The sequence below is a fragment of the Homo sapiens genome, chromosome 13 (genome assembly GCF_000001405.40).
Source record: "Homo sapiens chromosome 13, GRCh38.p14 Primary Assembly".
Lineage (NCBI taxonomy): Eukaryota > Metazoa > Chordata > Mammalia > Primates > Hominidae > Homo > Homo sapiens.
Window position 1 is genome coordinate 98560347 of NC_000013.11, and position 18699 is coordinate 98579045.

Below are 18699 nucleotides of genomic sequence, written 5' to 3' on the forward strand. Positions count from 1 at the left end.
CACTCAAAATGCATACAGTATGATTATGCTGAAAAGCAGACTGGTCCTATTTTGGGGTGAATGTTCATTCAGAGCAGTAATTTTAAGTCATAATATTGGCACTTATCCTGCAAATCTCCTTCTCATCTGAGACTTTTAACTAAATCAACAGGCTGAAAAGAAACACAAGATATAAGAGCTATTTTAAACCAGACTATTTACCATATATTTATAAAAGATTCATCTAAAAGACAATCAAAAACATAATTCTGGCCAGGCGCGGTGGCTCACACCTGTAATCCCAGCACTTTGGAAAGCCGACGTGGGTGGATCATTTGAGGTCAGGAGTTCGAGACCAGCCTAACCAACATGGTGAAACCCCGTCTCTAGTAAAAATACAAAAAAATTAGGTGGGCATGGTGGCACATGCCTGTAGTCCCAGCCACTCAGGAGGCTGAGGCACGAAAACTGCTTGAACCCAGGAGACAGAGGTTGCAGTGAGCCGAGATCACGCCACTGCACTCCACTCCACTGCACTCCAGCCTGGGAGACAGGGCAAGACTCCGTCTCAAAAAAAAGAAAAAAAAAAAAAACCATAATTCAGTCAGGCAGAATTCTAACTGTTTGTCCTCCTCAGGCTCCCACAGCCACTTCAAAGTTAGCCAGAGCCTAGACACAGCCAGGACAGTGGTTCTGCTGTCTTGAGTGAATGCTCACACTCTCAAGGAGTATATGTGTGGACCCCAGTCTGCAGGCAGTGATCCTTGTTTCGAATACAACTGGGCAAGGGGTAAGGTGCCCAGCAGGAGTGTAAGTGTAACACCACCGTGTGGGTATTCTCACTTAGCAACCTAGGCAAAGCAATTAACTACATAAAACTCATTAAATAACACACTGCTTTCCAACAGCACTGCCAGGGATGAGAGGAGGAGAGTCATTTTTTCTTTCTCCAAAGGCAAAAGAAAGCAGCAAGGAGGTCGGGCACGGTGGCTCATGCCTGTAATCCCAACACTTTGGGAGGCTGAGGCAGGCAGATCACTTGAGGTCAGGAGTTCAAGACCAGCCTGGCCAACACGGTGAAACTCCCTCTCTACCAAAAATACAAGCATTAGCCGGTCGTGAGGCACACACCTGTAATCCTAGCTACTGGGGAGGCTGAGGCGCGAGAATCACTTGAAGCCGGGAGGCAGAGGTTGCAATGAGCGAAGATCACGTCACTGTACTCCAGCTAGGGCAACAGAGTGAGACTGTCTCAAAAAGAAAGAAAGAAAGAAAGCAGCAAGGTTATTCTTTCTAACTTGTTTGGCCAGAGCCAAACAAGTATGTATCTCTGGCTGGTACTCCTCTGTCCTAAAGATGGGGCAGGGCTGGTCGGGTGCAGTGGCTCTTGCCACTAATCCTAGCACTTTGGGGGAGGCAGGCAGATCACCTGAGGTCAAGAGTTCAGGACCAACCAGCCCGGCCAACATGCTGAAACCCCATCTCTACTAAAAATACAAAAATTAGCTAGGTGTGGTGGCACGTGCCTGTAATCCCAGCTGCTCCAGAGGCTGAGGCATGGGAATCGCTTGAACCCGGGAGGTGGAGGTTGCAGTGAGCCGAGATCCCACCATTGCACTCCAGCCTGGGTCAACAGAGTGAGACTCCGTCTCAAAAAAAAAAAAAAAAAAAAAAAAAGATGTGACACGCCTTGTATTAAAGGAGGCACAGAAGTCAGTTAAGACAGTAAAACAATCATCATGAAAACCATATGGAAATGTGGGATGATATTTATGACACAATGCTGAATGAGGAACAATATCAACGTGTACCTACATTATGACTGCAATTACTTAAGGAAATGTGTGTACGCAGACAACTGGCAAATAAAATAGGAAGAACTACATACTCAAGTACTGGGATTCTAGATGCTTTTGCTTTAAAAATACTTTAACGGAGATGGAGTGAAGATATTTTTCTGGGTGAAGGTTCCCATTTCTGTACAATCCTCAACCCCCCACTTCACATGATTCTTTTATAGACCATGTACGCATAACGGGGCCAGGGTAGGAAACGGGACTCGCACACCACAGCCGATAAGCAACTGGCTGTTCTGCTGGTTTCCAAAGGCCCTTACTATCACAAGTCCTCCAGCAGAAAGGAACGGAATTACTACTACTCTGACATAAAATGACAAACTCAAGAAGAATTATTTTCGGGGAATTTCAAAAACACTCTCATTTGATTGCTATAGCTAATATTAAGAAATCATCTATGCAACAGGCCATGTAAAAAGTACTGAGGTGTTTATCACTTTAAAAGGGTTCCAGGCTGGGTGCAGTGGCTCACGCCTGTAGTCCCAGCACTTTGGGAGGCCAAGGTGGGCAGATCACGAGGTCAAGAGATCCAGACCATCCTGGCTAGCGCGGTGAAACCCCGTCTCTACTAAAAATACAAAAAAATTAGCCGGACGTGGTGGCGGGCGCCTGCAGTCCCAGCTACTCGGGAGGCTGAGGCAGGAGAACCACATGAACCCAGGAGGCAGAAGTTGCAGTGAGCCAAGATCACACCACTACACTCCAGTCTGGGCAACAGAGTGAGACTCCCTCTCTTAAAAAAAAAAAAAAAAAAAGGTAAAAAAAATTAAAAATAGAAAATAACATATTTTATATGAACGTACCTGCATGCACAGAAACGTCTGTATATTTGGGGGTTGGGAAGCTTCTCAAGCCTTCTCAGGCCTCCCAAGAAACGATTTGCTCCACAACATACACAGTAATGCATCCCAGAGGAAGGAACCAGGGATGCCACTTGGAGAACTAGTTTTCAACTGAAGTTGTTTAAACTATGTGATCACTTTATGCCTCCAGGGAAATGAAATCCCATCCCACAACATCCAAGGCTAGCACCGATGGCCCCAGGTCAATTTTGGGAGTGTGTACCCAGAATACCGATGCTATTAGATGGCACACTTCAATCGCATCCTCTGCCTTTATTCTTCAGAGATAAACACAGGCAGTTGGGGGACCGAGGCCAGGAAATGCAAGTAGTTTCACTTCACAGAAGCTCGTCTTTTCTTGCAGAAGACAAAGCAGGGGAAGGCATTCTGAATGACACAAGTTGTTTTAGAAAGACTTCAGATTCTTCGATAACAAAGGGAAAAAAGAGCGCAAATCTCTGTAACTCCTCTTCCTGATGTGGTCAATCCCCTAAGTCTGTATAATGTGCTGTTTACCCTTGTATTTTAAAATGCCGTATAAAACACATTTCCAGGCTGGGCGTGGTGGCTCACGCCTGTAATCCCAACATTTTGGGAGGCTGAGGTGGGCGGATCACGAGGTCAGGAGATCGAGACCATCCTGGCTAACATGGTGAAACCCCATCTCTACTAAAAATAAAAAAAAAATTAGCCGGGCGTGGTGGCGGGTGCCTATAGTCCCAGCTACTCGGGAGGCTGAGGCAGGAGAATGGCATGAACCTGGGAGGCGGAGCTTGTAGTGAGCTGAGATCGCGCCACTGCACTCCAGCCTGGGTGAAGGAGCGAGACTCCGTCTCAAAAAAAAAAAAAAAAGTTTCCAATTCCTCATGTAATGAATTGTAACAAGCCTCAGAAAAACTACAATGCACTTAAAACCAAAAGCAAAGCCAACAACCCCAAAACCCTCAAATAAGAAAGCCTGGTAAAATCAAAGTGTAACTAAATCCAGTACACCCTAATAACAGACGACATTATTAAAATAAATGGGGGGGAGAGATAACAGAGAAATAGAGATCACTTCTGAATCAAAAGTCAAATCAACTATACATAAAAGCCAACATCCCAAACATTGAAAACTCTACTGATATGAAATACTTTTTCCCATTCTGAAATATATGTATAGTATTACATTTAGTTAAGTGTTAAATACAACAGCTACCGAGAAAAGAAAATCAATTCTAACCAAAGACGGTCATTTCATCAGTGGGAAAAACACCGGCGGGTATGCCCTTCTCTCCCCTGCGGCATCCCAGCACCTGGAGCTAAGAGGAGCTGGACAGATGATACAGAGCTTGCTCGGGGGCTTCCCCTTACGAGGGCTCCCTAGGCAGAGGAAGGCAAGCGGTACTGAGTCTGAGAATCCTGCAGTGGCTGAGCATGGGGAGGGGTAGGTTCAAAGGCCCAGGAACAGGCACTGAGCTTTGGAGGAGCACAGGGAGCTGAGCCCACCCAGGGCAGAGGAGCTGAAGAGCAGAGAGGAGGAAGCTGGGTACTAAAAAAGGCCCTGAGTTTTAGGCTGGCGTCTACATCTGATCAGGAAGTCAGGAGCAGCAGGCAATACCACAGTTAAGAAAAGTTATCCTGACAAATTTGAGAATTATCAGGTTCAGAGCATTTGTTCTAGTTCGGGGTTTTCCAAAAAGACTACTGCACCCTAGATCTTGAGAGATGCACTCCTTATGAAATAAGGTTCCAAGTGGCACGCAGTAGCATAAGCCTGTAATCTCAGCTACTTAAGAGGCAGAAGCAGGAGGACTGCTTGAGGCCAAGAGTTCAAGTCCAGCCTTGGCAACATAGCGAGATTCCCATTTCTAAAAATAAAAATAAGGTTCCAAGGTCAAAAAGACATGGAACACACATCCTCTGCCCCCAACAGGTTTATAAATACATGCTAAAATCGCAAAGGCTCTAATGAGTCTTATAATTACAGGCCTATTCAATTCCCAAAGTTAGGTCAGCGGTTCCAAAGTCAGTCTTTGGAAATACAAGCCATAGGCTGCAAGCACTGATTGTAGCTTGCTCTGCTTTTCAAATGGGCAAGGCTACTGTGTGCTTCACTAGAGTGGGGAGCAATGAGGATTCAGGATTCTTTTTTGATTCTCCAGCGCAGTGGTTCTCAAAGTGTCATCCTCGAGGCGGCAATACACCAGGACACTTGCTCAGAACACAAACTCCCTCCGAGACGCCCAGAATCAGAAACTCCAGGGCAGCAGGGCAGAGCCTGTAGTCTGCATTTTACCAACCCCTCCAGGTGACACTGAGTGGCCTTATATTCTATTAGAGGGCTGGGCGCGGTGGCTCACACCTGTAACCCCAGCACTCTGGAAGGCGAAGGCGAGAGGATCACTTGAGGTCAGGAGCTTGAGACCAGCCTGGCCAACAGGGCAAACAAAACCTTGTCTCTACTAAAAATACAAAAATTAGCCTGGTGTGGTCGCGGGTGCCTGTAATCCCAGCTACTTGGGAGGCTGAGGCAGGAGAATTGCTTGAACCCGGGAGGCAGAGGTTGCAGTGAGCCGAGATCGTGCCATTGCACTCCAGTCTGGGCACGAGAATGAGACTCCATCTCAAAAAAAAAAAAAAAAAATTATATTCGATTAGAGGGTACTTTTTCAGTTATTTCTTCACCATCCAAAACAACACAGTCTGGGCAACACCTGAAAGGCAATGAACAGGAGCCAGTCAGCAGCTCCATGCCCACCCTAAGGAGGTGGGGCTCAGAGCTCACTACAGAGAATGGAGATAAAGGAACAAGGAAAACATCTGAAAGTCCAAGTCACCGCCCCCCACACCCACAATCCTAAATTCCAGGAAGCCAGTTAAAAATAATCCAGGAACAAGTTTCCCGATCAGGAGGAGTGCACAGACAGCGCAGTGCCAGCCCGGTGGGCTGAAGGCCCAGGGCTCCCTCTGCTCCAGCACCAGGCGGTAGGCATGGGGGTGGCAGCCAAGGTCAGCTACCTCCTCTCACGCAGACAACCGCCACCAAGAAGGCCCAGCCCCTCCGGCACAGGACCACAAGGACCCACACCGCCAGCTGCCCACCTTGCTGTGCCAGGCACGCTGCCAGCCAGAAGCACGCCAGGCTATGGGGGAAGGACCTGCCCTCAATGAAATGGAGATTTTTCTTTTCCTCAAAAAAAATGAATAACAATGAAACATGAACACACTCTTCTTTAAAGGTTAAAAACAAGGAAATAAAAACGCCCAAAACACCCTCTGTTCACAGCCCTGAACTCAGCTGTTTCATGGAGGCTGGAGGGACAATGTGACGGTCAGGAGGGCAGAGCTGTGTTGGGGATGTGGTGCAGGGAATCTGACACGCCAGGGAGCAGGCAGTCGGGAGGAAGGAAAAGAACACACATGCTGGCCTCCCAGTCAGGGCTTCCGCCCCAGTGATGCTGTTTTCTAGCCGAGGCCTTGGGCAGGTTTCATAAGCCTCGGTTTTCTCATCTGTAAAATTAGTCTGACAGCCATTCCCTCAGCAGAGACCCTGAGGGTTCACCAAGAGGCCTGGCCCTCACTGAAGAAAACTCAATCAAAGCAGTCCCCTTCCGACAAGGCTTCCCATGAAGGGCAACAAATTCCAAAGATGTTTATTTTCTAGACTGACATAAATCCAGCCATGCCACAGGCTCAGTCCTTCCACCTACCCACAGCAAGCAACAGGGAAGCAGGTGGGAGAAGAAAGCTCTGCTGCAGAACTGCTGAAGAAGTGAGGCTTTGTGCTACCAGCTTTTTCTGTGTGAATTACCTCTCAAGAAATATTTGGTACCAGGAAACTGCATCCATCACACATACCACAGGAACGCTCCTCAAGCAATACCTTTCTTCATCTGGAGTTCAAGTGGCAGTTTAATAACTTTGAAGTCACCACATTGAACACGCTTCCAAAGTTCGACGAAACTATACCTAAAATAACTGCGGGCTAAGGCTCAGTCCCAAGTTCCAGACTGTTTTTCATTTCTACTCAATGGTTCGTTGCTGTAAAATTCTACCCAAGAAAGTACTCTGTCCTTAAGCAAGAAATCACTTGAAGGCCATACCCCAAAGAAGAGCTTTCGCTGTTTAGATACGCACCCTTCAAGTCCTCCATCCATTAACATGCTATGGATTTATGGCCAGCGCTGTGCAGTGCCCCCAGCGCGCAGACACCACTGACTCTGCAACATGCAATCTGCTAACACATGGCCACTGGGACAGCCACATAACACCCAGGCCCTCTGACGGGCTATTCGGCATCTGTGGCACACGTGTGCCCCAGTCCTGCACCGACCACCACGGAACATACGACCAGACTGATGCCACCTCCGCCCTGCCAAGAAGCACATACTCAATTCTGGACCAGGGGGTTGGAACCCCAAAGCATCATAAACTTAAGCAAGCGTTTCTCCAGAGAGATCCTATGAGGCTCCCGGACATCGTTCTGTGTCCACAGGATCTTGGGACCAAAAAAATGAGAGAAGCAAGAAGAGCAGGTTCTCAGTTCAAGTTGGGGAGGTGGAGGCCACCGACCAGTAGAGAGATGGAAAAATAAGCAGACATGTATACTGCTGTTTATTTACAGGGAGAAAATAAGAGGCACAATCTCATGATGAAGAGAACGGAGGCTCCGAGTTCTTGCCCGCCGCCCTGGCCCAGCAGTCAGTCCTAGCTCTTGGAATTTCCTCACCTGCCTGGCCCTGTCTTTATTCACCTATAAACTGAAGAATAGCAACTTGGAGGTAGAGGGGTCACACAGACAGCAGCATCTAATTGGGTCAATCCTGAAATCCCACTAAAATCATAAATCTAAAAACCACCACATACCTGAAACAGAGAGAAGACAACTGCAATGAAATCTCAGAAGCTGGAAAGTAGGTAGTGGTTTAAAAAAAAAAAGGGGGGGGGTGGGGAGTAGAGGAAGACAACGCTAAACCGGAGGTGCAGAAAACAGAGAACTTTTTTTTTTTTTGGAGGCACAGTCTCGCTCTGTCGCCCAGGCTGGAGTGCAATGGCGCGATCTCGGCTCCCTGCAACTTCCGTCTCCTGGGTTCAAGCAATTCTGCCTCAGCCTGCCAAGTAGCTGGGATTACAGGCGTGTATCATCACGCCTGGCTAATTTTTGTGTTTTTGGTAGAGAAGGGGTTTCACCATGTTGGTCAGGCTGGTCTCGAAATCCTGACCTCAAATGATCCACCCGCTTCGGCCTCCCAAAGTGCTGAGATTACAGGCATGAGCCATCGCGCCGGGCCAGCAGAGAACTAACTTAACTCACAGTGCTGGACCCCCGGCTCTCAGGAACTGACGGCACCAGTCCCTCTGCCGGGGGAATGAGTGAACCAGGCAGAGCCTCAAAGTCAGCCACAGAAGTGGGTAGACAGCCAGACAGCTTGCCCCACATCTCACAGCCAGGCTCCCAAAGTCAAGGAAATGATGAAAATATATTATCTGCAAAGGAAGGAAAAATTGAGGATATATGGACCAGGCTGCAGCAGACACAGCCGGAAGCAGAGGCAGCATACTTAAAAATGGGGAATGAAGGCCGGGGATGGTGGCTCACACCTGTAATCCCACCACTTTGGGAGGCCGAGGCATGTGGATCACCTGAGGTCAGGAGTTCGAGACCTGCCTGCTCCACATGGTGAAACCTCATCTCTACTAAAAAATACAAAAATTAGCCAGGCATGGTGGTGGGCGCCTGTAATCCCAGCTACTCGGGAGGCTGAGGCAGGAGAATCACTGGAACCTGGGGGGGCAGATGTTGCAGTGAATGAAGATCACGCCATTGCACTCCAGCCTGGGTGACAGAGCGAGACTCCATCTCGAAAAACAAAAAAGATAAAAGAATATTTGAGGGCCGATGCAGAAGGTTCACCATCCAAGTAATAAAGTTTCAGAAAGAAAGAACACAGAAAATGGAAGGGGGGAGGGGAATCAAAGAAAAAAGTCAATGAAAAGATCTGAGTCGCTTCACAGAAAAGGCCTAACCAAGTATCTGTCACGAGAAACGAAAACAGCCCCACTCCAAGCCACATCATTGTGAAACTTCAGAACTCAAGGAAAAAGTTCAGATCCCATTAGGTCCAGGAAGAACAGCACAGCCTGCACACACAGAAGCCGGTGCTGGCAGGGCCTCCATCTTCAACAGCAACACTGGAAGCTAAAACACAGTGGAGAAACACCTTTAAAATTCTGGAGGAAATGAATGTCCACCCTGCAATTTTACACCATGCTAAAATATCAACTGAGGGAGAAGAAAAAAAATTTTTGAAAAGCCTGTCTCCCACGCTGCCTATTCACAGAAAATGGCGCACTATATGCCCAACCAACATCATGGCATAAACCAAGAAAGAAAATGACAGCAGAGACAAAAAAAAAAAAACAAAAAAAAACAAAACAGATATTCAACACAAGAGAGCAGCAGAAGGAACCCAGAGGATGAGAGCAAAGGAAGACCAGAGGATGGGGGTGGCACAAGAAGCATAGAAGATACGCAGGTGACGAAAGGCACAGGTGCCACCCGAACTTCCTAAGACAAGGTTGCAACAACTACAGAGTGCTGGGATGAATGAGAAGCATTACCAAAAGAAAAGAAATCTGATCAGTAACTATGGTTGAGTAATAATGGCTGGGCTGCAGATCCGTCTGCAGTCCATTAATGTACACACCGCATTCTGACCTCACTGACATTACAACATCTCTCTGCTGGGGGAGAGCGGGGAGCCCATGTGAGGAAAAGAGGCAAGCGGAAGAGAAGTAAATCCTCATCCGCAGGGTCCAAAGTCTATAGACAATGCCTGAAACCAGGAAAAAAAAAAAAACACAGGCAGAAATTTTTTTTTTTTTTTTTGAGATGGAGTTTCACTCTGTCACCTAGGCTGGAGTGCAGTGGCACCATCTCAGCTCACTGCAACCTCCGCCTCCCAGGTTCAAAGAATTCTCCTGCCTCAGCCTCCCAAGTAGCTGGGAATACATGCGCCCACCACCACGCCCAGCTGTTTTTTTTGTATTTTTAGTAGAGACAGAGTTTCACCATGTTGGCCAGGCTGGTCTTGAACTCCTGACTTCAAGTGATCCACCTGCCTCAGCCTCCCAACGTGCTGGGATTACAGGCGTGAGCCACCGCCCCCGGTCAATTTTTTAATGTTCCTCATAAACTAAGGAGTAACAAAAACAAAAATCAACCAGGAGAGATCAAAGGGGCTGCCCTCGGGGAATAAGAAATGGCGGGAGGTGGAAGCAGCTGCTATCTTTCCCAACCAACCTTACAAAACTACCCATTAGACATTTCTAAATAGAAACTAAACAAAATCCTAAGTAATTACAAATAAAACAAAGGATGTGGACCTGTAACAGTTCTTTCAAACCTTACGGCCTAAAATTCTCTTAAAAAACAGGAAGAGACTTAAAATAATAGGAAGATAAACCCCAGCTACGTACTTGGTAAGCATTAATTTAAAACTTGAAATGTTCCCACAATGTATTCAGATACCAACAGAGCGCAGAACAGAAAAGGTTTCTTTTGCTGACGAAGAACCCTCAAGAAACACAATGGAAGGTCTCTAGAGTCAACAATGTTGTTCCCTGGGTGCGCATAAAGTGACTGGTAACCACCAATTTGGGATGTTTCACAGTTTGTACCAAGCAAAGGCATATCTCAGTTTATTTCCCCTAATTTAAACCTTGCAAACCAGGGAGCCATTTAGGATTAAGAAACTCCATAGTCACCCTCAGGAGGCAGGTTATTTTTCCCAAAGCATTTGGCACTTATATTTTTTATAATTTCCACTGCAAAAACATGAATTATGGGAAATGACTGCTACAAACTACTCCGACGACAGTGGCTGATTCTACGCGATGAGACATGGATAATAGAGTGCAACTTCTATTTCCTGCACTCACACCACCCACAAGATTCCATTAATGATAATCAGCTGAGCTAAGGCATTAAAAGGCACAGAAAGGTGGCTTGGGTGTGGTCCACTTCCTGCAGGTAAGGAGCTTCCACAAGGGCAGCTCTGAATCATCGGGAGTAATCGCCCAAATAAAGAGCTAAGGGGCCCGTTTCTCAGGAGACCATCGGACGCCTGGACTGCGGCTTTAGAGTGTGTGTAACCGCACAAGCACAGCAGAAAGTAGCAGTGACCATCGACAGGCTCCTCCCTTCAGTAACTGCTCACCCTGCATCTTGCACCAGGGTCCTGGAAAAATACTGAACTGAAAATGAAACTCAACCTGCACCACATTAGGCAGCTCAGCTCTACGCATCAGACCGTAGCTCCAAGAAGAGCATCAAAGTCAGAAAGAGGGTGGGAAAGCAATGATGCCAGCCGCCACCTGCCCATAACTGCTCAGCACAGTTAGCAAGCTAGAAAATCTCATCTGACCAATTCCTACTTGAAGGTCACTTGCTTTTATGTGACATGCTATCAAGAATACTCCCAGATCTGAGACTGGACTCCTCCAAAAGTTTGGGTTTTTCTAATTTAAAAAAACCTTGTGACCATCCTCCCCCTCAAAAAAGAACACTTTCAAGCAAAACAAATTCTTACCATTGTTACATTTTGGAACACGGAGTATTCAAAATAGGTTTTTTGTTTTTTTGACACTTACATAGGCAACTAACTAACAAAACAGTAACTAACAGTAACTGAGTACTTATTACTCTTTAGCACTGATCAGCAAAAAGGATCATAAAGCAAGAGGAGTAATGAGATACTATAAAATGTTCACTGAGAGTTCAAGCCACGAAGCTGAGTGAATGCTAAAAAAATCCACTTAGGCTGTCCTACTGACACCTGGGCTCCCCACTCGCATCCCTGGGCTTCCTCTTCCCTGAAGTGCTGCAATGCCTTCTAAAGGGGCACCCAGCACTCCCCACACCTGAGAAAGCAGGAGCCCCAAAGAACAGGAGATCATCTGCTCAAAAATGTGCCATACTTCCGGCTGTCTACAGATGCAAGGCCTCCCCCAGGCCCACAGGCACCCCACTGCCTCTTCAGCTCCAGGACCGATCTAGATCTAGCCCACCAGAAGCTGTGTCACCGCTTTCCAACCATGTGCCTTTGCTCACTGTGTCCTCAGTCACTGCAACCTTCTTAGAGCACATGCCCCAAAGCAGGCAGCCGACCTCTTGAGGACAGGATGGACTGAGGCTCTGAACTCTGCCTCCAACGACTCCGGGCACTATACTCTGCAGGCTCCCCTGTGCAGTCCAATGCTGTCAGTCACCAGAGCACACTCCACAGTTCAGCAAGTCCCCAAGGTGCTCTCCGAACCCACGTCTCGGATGTCCTGACTGTCCACACCCAGTGACACACCAACCTTCCCCCAGGGTGCAGATGGTAACAGGGTAACTGGGCAGGCACCTCCCAAGGAAGGAACGGAAAAGAACCCGTGGAAATGTGACACTAACAAGAAAAAAAAGTACAAGAGCACTTAAGCCACAATTAAATGCAGCTGTCCTGTGTTTGCCTTCATTTCCCAGACTCCCAGAGTGCACAGGCTTCCCTAGGGTGGAGCAGAGCACTTGAGAAAAGCTCCCCATGTTCCCAGACTGGCCATTAGACACCAGTCTCACTATCCTGATGCAAGGGGCATTCTCAGCAAAGGTCTATTTATCCAAGCAGCAAGAAAAACAGAAGGGGAACGAGGGGGACAGGATGATGTTAACAAGACAAACTTCAGGTTTTTAAGCTATTCCTCTAAATTATCTGTATTTTCAAATATGAAACTATGTTAAACTTACAACTTCAAAACATGGTAAATTAACCAGGCCCTGCAATATGCAATACATGTGACGTATATAATTCAGTATTTTTCAAACTGTGGGTCAGGAATCAGTGGGCTGTGAAATCAATCTAGTGTTGCAACCAGCTCCTTTTTTAAATATACCACAACAGCACATCACAAGCACAGGCTGAGCATCCCTGATCCAAAATGCTCCAAAATATGAAACTTTTCAGCGCCAACATGACACTCAAAGGAAATGCTCATTGGGAGCACTTCTGATTTCGGATGTTCAACAAGCATATAATGCAAATATTCCAAAATTCGAAACACTTGTGGTCCCAAGCATTTTGGATGAGGGATACTCAACCCGTAGTAAGGATTAGTACGGTCTCCTGAAACTTGTTTTTGATCCTGATGTAAAATATATTTCTTACATGGGTCACGGTTCAGAAAAGTTGAAAAGTGACTGATAAAATTTTGTAACAGAAATGTGCAAACCAAAATCTCATTTTTAAATCACATTTCTGCAAACTCAAAGCCGATTGGTGTTCCTGCCTCCATCTGAAGCTTTTCTTTTAATCTCAATTGAGTGAAACAACAAATGCTCAATGAAAGACGGAGTACTTATAGCCACAGATCAGCCTGATTTCTTTATGTTTATTCGTCACTATATTCATTCAGTTTCTGATGTCTATTTTTTTCCCCTACTGAAATATAAAACTGGGGTTTAAGAGAAAAAAAGCAAAGGCTTCAGCAACTTTCATTAAACATTTACTTTAAATGGTAACCTCATTCAGATCTACCACTTTCAACCCCTCCCCTAGGACCTGGCACATGAAAGTTCAATAAGGGTTGCTGATTGAATAAATTAAAAAATCAGCCTCCTATTTCTAATTTCTTTAGCCAATCTAACTAGCAATGAGATAAACTTTAATGTTTGCAAAAGTAACCATAAAACAGTAACACTGCATGATGAGTGGGAGTAGGAGGAGTAGTAGTTTCCAATCACAAATTTGCCACATAATATATGATCTCACCTTGGTCAGTTAAGTCTTCCTTGGTCTCCACATCTACAAAATGGTATAATATCATCTACATCTCAAACGGTACCGGTAAGAATCAAGAGGCATAAAAATGATTTGCAAAACATTGAAAAATGGTGTTTATACTAACATGGTTGTTATTTTTCAAGCATCCTTGCCTAGGCCACCTGAATTCACTCTGCTTTATTTTTTTATTTTATTTTTTTTTTTGAGACGGAGTCTGCCTCTGTCGCCCAGGCTGGGGTGCAACGGCACAATCTCAGCTCAACGCAACCTCCGCCTCCCGGGTTCAAGTGATTCTCCTGCCTCAGCCTCCCGAGTAGCTGGGATTACAGGCGTGTGCCACCACGCCCAGCTAATTTTTTGGATTTTTAGTAGAAACAGGGTTTCACCATGTTAGCCAGGATGGTCTCGATCTCCTGACCTCATGATCCGCCCACTTCGGCCTCTCAAACTGCTGAGATTACAGACTCTGCTGTCTTTCTAAGCCAACTCCTTATAAGCCCTGGTCAGGAGACAAGAAAAAGGGAGGGCTATGAGGCCTATCAGAGCAAGCCATAGAAGAGATACGGACTTCTCTCCTCCCATTTAGCAGACAACAGTCGAAAGCAGGTGTGTTTTTAATTGAATCTTCAGCAACAACTCTTAGGGAAGCCTCCCAGGGCAGTAGCAACTGCTAATTTGAAGTAGAAAATAAATGTGCTGTTGTTTTTCTTTTGTGGGGTGGGGGAGGAGAAAAGAATGTTCTTCCCCAAATGATACACTGTTACCATACAGTCTGTAGATGTACTTAGGTACAGGAATGACTGGCAGAAGCCAACTTACCTACCTCTAAAACTGTAAAACTGTAACAGCTGAAAATCTGATCATCTTTTCCACTGAGAAACACTTAAGATCTTTCATACTGAGAAAACAAAATAAAAACAGTTCCCATGTAACACAACCTAACAGATACATAATAGTTGAGAGGCAAAGTTATTAAGGAAATGTATCTTCTTTTCCCAAGGTTTAAGAATTCTGACCCACTCAAAAAAAAAAGTGAGGATAAAAATGAAAAGGTGAGATACTAGATATCACCTGGTAACCATCTGATACTGACTTCACGGCACCAGCCAAAGGGGCTTTAGTACCTTTTCAAACTGATTCGCTATCCACAAAGGCCAATTAACCTAGTAAGTGAGGCATTTGTGCTAGATTCCAACCTGATGAACACGGTATAAATATCAACCTAAAGGAAATATTGATAAAACTTTTTTTTTAAATCATTACAAGAGTCCTTTCTTGCTCGACTAGTAAGAAATTACTTTTTTCACCCAGTTCACTCTGACCTACACACCTCTAAATTCATACCAAAGCGGCTTTAGAAAATACCAAGAAACCACATCTGATTGTTACCCAGCAGTCAGCAGAAGTTTAGGTTTTGAATGCATGCTAAATTCAACGCTCCTTAAATGAGAGTCGACAAAAGAATATTCTTCAAGCATCTTCCCAGTCACTCTTAAGATAATAACTTAACTGTTGCTGCTTAAATGTATATTTATTTACTGCTTAAACATATATACACACATATATATACTGCTTATATATACACACACACACACACACACACATATACACACACACACACTTGGACTAAAATTCTAGCTGCCATTAAAGTGGTAACTTTGAGTTCCTATTTTTCCAGAATTCAAACCTGAACAGTGAAATCCAGTTTTCTTTTTACGGTTTCAAAAAAAGAAGGGAGAGGGATGATCTCACTGGAAGAGGCGAGCAGACCCCAGAGGCAGTCCCAGGTCTGGGCTCTGTGCTTCTCAGCCCTCAAGACACAGGGAAGGAGCCTGTTGGTACCTGTAAATCAACCAGTAATCTACTTGGATGCTTTTGGTTTTCTTCAAACACTTAACGTTCACTCAGCTAAACTGGCAGAGCAAACTTTCATGACATATCCTAACTGCATCCTAAGATTTCCATCCTAAGCATTTTGCCACCATTTCTGCGCCTACAAAGTTTACAAGAGTTAGCCAAGGACGGTAGCTTTGTTTTTCAAAGGGCTAAAAGCAACGACAACGAAAACAACAACAACAAAAAACCTTTAACTTATACATGTAAATTTGAAATTCAACTCCTCTCCCACTCCCCAAAAAGTCACTGGTAGGCCAAGGTGTCACCAAGTACCGAAAGAGAGGTTTACTGGGCGAAGAATTCCTGTAAATGCAACCAAGTCTCAAAGTGAAAGTCCAGGGTCCCGGGGCCGGGCCCGGGACCCTGGTGCGCGGCTGTCCGAGGGATTCCTCCTTCCAGAAGGTTTGCAACTCGCACTTTCCCCCGGTCCGCAGGTGCACGGGGGCTCCGGGCAAAGCCACTGCAAGTGGAACTCGCGGTTACCTTCCTCCACTCCACCCTGCCTACTCCGCTCGGGCCCGGACGAGTCCAGGCGCGCTCCCCGTCCCCGCCCTGCCCAGGTCTCCCGCCCGCCTGCCCGGGGGTGGGGGACGAGCCTGGGGGACGCGTCCTGGGGCCCTCCGCCAACCCGGCCACCACGCAGGGCCCCGGGACCCGGCGGGGGCCTCCAAGGGCATCACTCCACCTCACTTCTCCCGGGGACAGGGCCACCCAGGGCCTGCAGCTCCGGAAGAGTGTTGGGGCGAGGGGAGCGCGGAGGACTAGGCGCCCGCACCCCCACATCCGGACCCAGGCCGCGGTTCCTACGGCTCCTGCACGCACACGCCGGAGACCTCGGCCGCCGGAGCCGGCAGGGACGCCCAGGGACTCGGACTCGGACCCCCGGCCGAGCCGGGCGCGCGGGGAGCCAGGCTCCGGCGCGACCCCGGCCGGCTGAGCGTAGGGGGACGCCGTGTGGATACCGCCAAGTTGCTGCTTCCGCCCCGGTCGCGCATCCCGGCCCCGCGGCCCGCGCCCGCCTACCTGCATGCCGGGCAGGCCCGACTGCACCGGGGAGTGAGCCATGGCGCTCAGGACGGCCACTTCCTGGGACGGGACGGCCGGGCCGCGACGATCCGCGCGGGGCGGCGAGGCCCGCGGGCCGCGCGCAGCCCTCGGGCGGCGGGGCCGGCCGGAGCCCGAGGCCACCCCAGCCCTGGCGGGTCCCGGCCGGGCGGCGGGGGCTCAGCGGCGGGTGGCGGGCCGCGTCTCCATGCACGGCGCCAGGGAGGAGCTGCTGGGGGCGCAGGGCCTCGCGCGCACTGCCGCCGCCGCCGCTGCTGCCGCTACTGCTGGGCTGGAGCCGGGCGGCCTGGGCCCGCGCGCGCTGGCCGCTGGAGCCGGAGTGGGCGCGCACAGCCCGCCGAGCCCGCGAGCGCCGAGCGCGTCCCGCCCCGGCCCGGCCCCCGCGCCCGCCCCCACGGCCCGGCCGGGGACCCCGCCCCGCGCTTCCGGGAGGGGGAGGGGAGAGGCCGGTGGCCGCGCGGGAGCCCTAGGCCGCAGCCGCCGCCTGTCGGCCCGGCCCGGGTCCCAGCTGCTCCTGCGGCGCTCCCACGCCCCCGCGGGCGGGCGGCGGGGCCGGGAGGGGGCCTCGGCTGGGGCGGGCGCCGGGAGGGACCGAGTCGGGGCCGGAGGCTGGCCGCGTGCCCACCGGGCCGGCGCCGGGGCGAGCCTGGGCCGCGGCCCCCTCTTCCCGCCAGCCAGCCCACCCCGCCCCGGCGGCCTCTGGGAAAACGCGTCCCGGGCGAGCCCCTGAGGGCAGGATCGGAGTCGGGGGCACCTGGGGAAGGAGAGCGCCCCGTGGGGCCTCGGCCGGTGGCCTGTGCCAAAAGGCCGGGCAGAGCTGCTTCGGTGTCTGGGTGAAGTTTCCAGCCAACCCAAGAAGGAAACCGAAAGGGAAGAGGCCGAGAGAGAGGTTAATTCCTAGTGCTTTGGTTACCGAAAACAGCCCGGCTGGGACTGCTGGGCTGGGAACTTAGCTAAGCAGTGCGGAGGCTGAACCCCACCATCTCTGGGATCCGCAGCAAATCAGAAGCCCCCACCCACGATAAGGGGAAAATGGGGCGCAGAGGGCAGGGAGGAAGGGAAGAGAATGGAAGGAAAGCGCGTCTGGACTTTGAACTGCAGCCCTCTCCCTCTTTCCCTTGCCTCGGAAGCTCCAGGCCCACTCAGCACCAGTTCTGTCTCCTCTTTTCAGCCGCCTTCTCTCTAGCTACTGAGGGGAAAAGTCAGGATGAAGCGGGTCCCTCGGCCTCCAGAAGGTGTTTTATTACAGTCGCAAACAGGTAGAGCGGCAGCCACCCCAGTGATGACTCCCTGCTCCTTAGATTGTAGGGACGCTGGCACCTCACTCATGCTCCTAAGTGGCCATTTTGCGCCCTGGCTGGGCGAGTTAGGCAGACAAAATGAGCCCCCAAAAGTTTAAAGGCCTCCACCAAAGGAGTATTTCTTTTCTGAGGTGTCATTGTATTCCATCCACGAACTTCAGTTCCCCCGGGTGCTCTGGATCTGACATGGAGTAGGATGCTAACATCTAATCCCTTCTTTCCCTTTGGAAAGATGCATGTTTTTTCTCGGAGTCCTAGGGAATACCTTAGAATACTTTCATGGTTGTCATTGGTACACCCATCCCTTGAGGAGCCCTGCCACCCGTAAGTAGGACTGCAAGGAAATACAAAATTAAGAGAAGTATGAACCCTGATACCCAGGAACTTAAAATCAGGTGTATAAATTTTGTACACCTAAAAAATATGGTACCTAAAGAGGCGAACAGCAAAACAAGCAAGAATGTGAATCTTTAAAATGTTTCTATTCTTCAGCGCAGCCCAGGAATTCTACCTAAAGTAACATATCCTAAGGCAACAACCAAGAAGTGTGGAAGAATGCATGTAAGAAGACACAGTGATGTTTAGAATCCTGGGGAAACGGAACAGCCAAAAAGTCTCACAGAGGTTAAGTAAATAATAGCATTTTCATACGAGTACTATGTAGTCATTTAAAATTATGTCTTTCAGTACCTAGTAATGGGGAAAATGTATTCATTATATATTATTAAAGAAAATACAGGGTACAAAACACTGTATATAGACTGATCTCAAATGACTATATATATATTAATATATATGGCCTACAGACACACAGTCATGTATTGCTTAACAATGGGTATACATTCTGAGAAATGTGTTCTTAGTTGATTTTGTCACGTGAGCATCATAGAGTGTACTTCCAGAAACCTAGATGGCATAGCCTACTACACACCTAGGCTATATGGTATGACGTATTGCA

At 48.4% G+C, this 18699-nt stretch overlaps 1 protein-coding gene and 1 long non-coding RNA gene across 3 annotated transcripts in view, besides 10 other annotated features; one reads left to right on the top strand and one right to left on the bottom strand.

Moving 5' to 3' along the window:
• STK24 (serine/threonine kinase 24) overlaps window positions 1-16761 on the bottom strand; it is a 131923-nt gene extending 115162 nt beyond the window's left edge. For both annotated transcript variants that reach the window (NM_001286649.2, NM_001032296.4), the window contains exon 1: window positions 16399-16761. In NM_001286649.2, the coding sequence (NP_001273578.1) occupies window positions 16399-16440 (42 nt within the window). In that variant the 5' untranslated portion in view covers window positions 16441-16761. The remainder of the gene's footprint in view (window positions 1-16398) is intronic.
• Window positions 2869-3163: a silencer, noted in NCBI's record as "tiled region #8410; HepG2 Repressive non-DNase unmatched - State 19:H4K20". NCBI's record gives its function as "represses a minimal TATA promoter and a strong SV40 promoter by Sharpr-MPRA in HepG2 cells {active_cell/tissue: HepG2}" and the evidence as "EXISTENCE:reporter gene assay evidence [ECO:0000049][PMID:27701403]".
• Window positions 7535-8036: an enhancer, noted in NCBI's record as "H3K4me1 hESC enhancer chr13:99220135-99220636 (GRCh37/hg19 assembly coordinates)". NCBI's record gives its function as "activates a minimal SCP1, AML or CMV promoter by ChIP-STARR-seq in naive H9 embryonic stem cells {active_cell/tissue: H9 hESC(naive)}" and the evidence as "EXISTENCE:reporter gene assay evidence [ECO:0000049][PMID:30033119]".
• Window positions 10061-11260: an enhancer, noted in NCBI's record as "MED14-independent group 3 enhancer chr13:99222661-99223860 (GRCh37/hg19 assembly coordinates)". NCBI's record gives its function as "activates an origin of replication core promoter dependent on BRD2, BRD4, P300/CBP and CDK7 cofactors, and independent of MED14, by STARR-seq in HCT116 cells {active_cell/tissue: HCT116}" and the evidence as "EXISTENCE:reporter gene assay evidence [ECO:0000049][PMID:35650434]".
• Window positions 10888-10937: an enhancer, noted in NCBI's record as "active region_7918". NCBI's record gives its function as "activates an Ori minimal core promoter by ATAC-STARR-seq in GM12878 lymphoblastoid cells {active_cell/tissue: GM12878}" and the evidence as "EXISTENCE:reporter gene assay evidence [ECO:0000049][PMID:35858748]".
• Window positions 11789-12083: a silencer, noted in NCBI's record as "tiled region #9599; K562 Repressive non-DNase unmatched - State 14:Gen5'". NCBI's record gives its function as "represses a minimal TATA promoter and a strong SV40 promoter by Sharpr-MPRA in K562 cells {active_cell/tissue: K562}" and the evidence as "EXISTENCE:reporter gene assay evidence [ECO:0000049][PMID:27701403]".
• Window positions 14271-14330: a silencer, noted in NCBI's record as "silent region_5457". NCBI's record gives its function as "represses an Ori minimal core promoter by ATAC-STARR-seq in GM12878 lymphoblastoid cells {active_cell/tissue: GM12878}" and the evidence as "EXISTENCE:reporter gene assay evidence [ECO:0000049][PMID:35858748]".
• Window positions 15795-16664: a silencer, noted in NCBI's record as "silent region_5458". NCBI's record gives its function as "represses an Ori minimal core promoter by ATAC-STARR-seq in GM12878 lymphoblastoid cells {active_cell/tissue: GM12878}" and the evidence as "EXISTENCE:reporter gene assay evidence [ECO:0000049][PMID:35858748]".
• Window positions 16715-17024: a silencer, noted in NCBI's record as "silent region_5459". NCBI's record gives its function as "represses an Ori minimal core promoter by ATAC-STARR-seq in GM12878 lymphoblastoid cells {active_cell/tissue: GM12878}" and the evidence as "EXISTENCE:reporter gene assay evidence [ECO:0000049][PMID:35858748]".
• On the top strand, window positions 16909-18495 carry STK24-AS1 (STK24 antisense RNA 1). Its single transcript, NR_046542.1, has one exon. It is a non-coding gene; the product is annotated as an STK24 antisense RNA 1 (long non-coding RNA).
• Window positions 17045-17194: a silencer, noted in NCBI's record as "silent region_5460". NCBI's record gives its function as "represses an Ori minimal core promoter by ATAC-STARR-seq in GM12878 lymphoblastoid cells {active_cell/tissue: GM12878}" and the evidence as "EXISTENCE:reporter gene assay evidence [ECO:0000049][PMID:35858748]".
• Window positions 17285-17474: an enhancer, noted in NCBI's record as "active region_7919". NCBI's record gives its function as "activates an Ori minimal core promoter by ATAC-STARR-seq in GM12878 lymphoblastoid cells {active_cell/tissue: GM12878}" and the evidence as "EXISTENCE:reporter gene assay evidence [ECO:0000049][PMID:35858748]".
• Window positions 18496-18699: the final 204 nt, after the last annotated feature.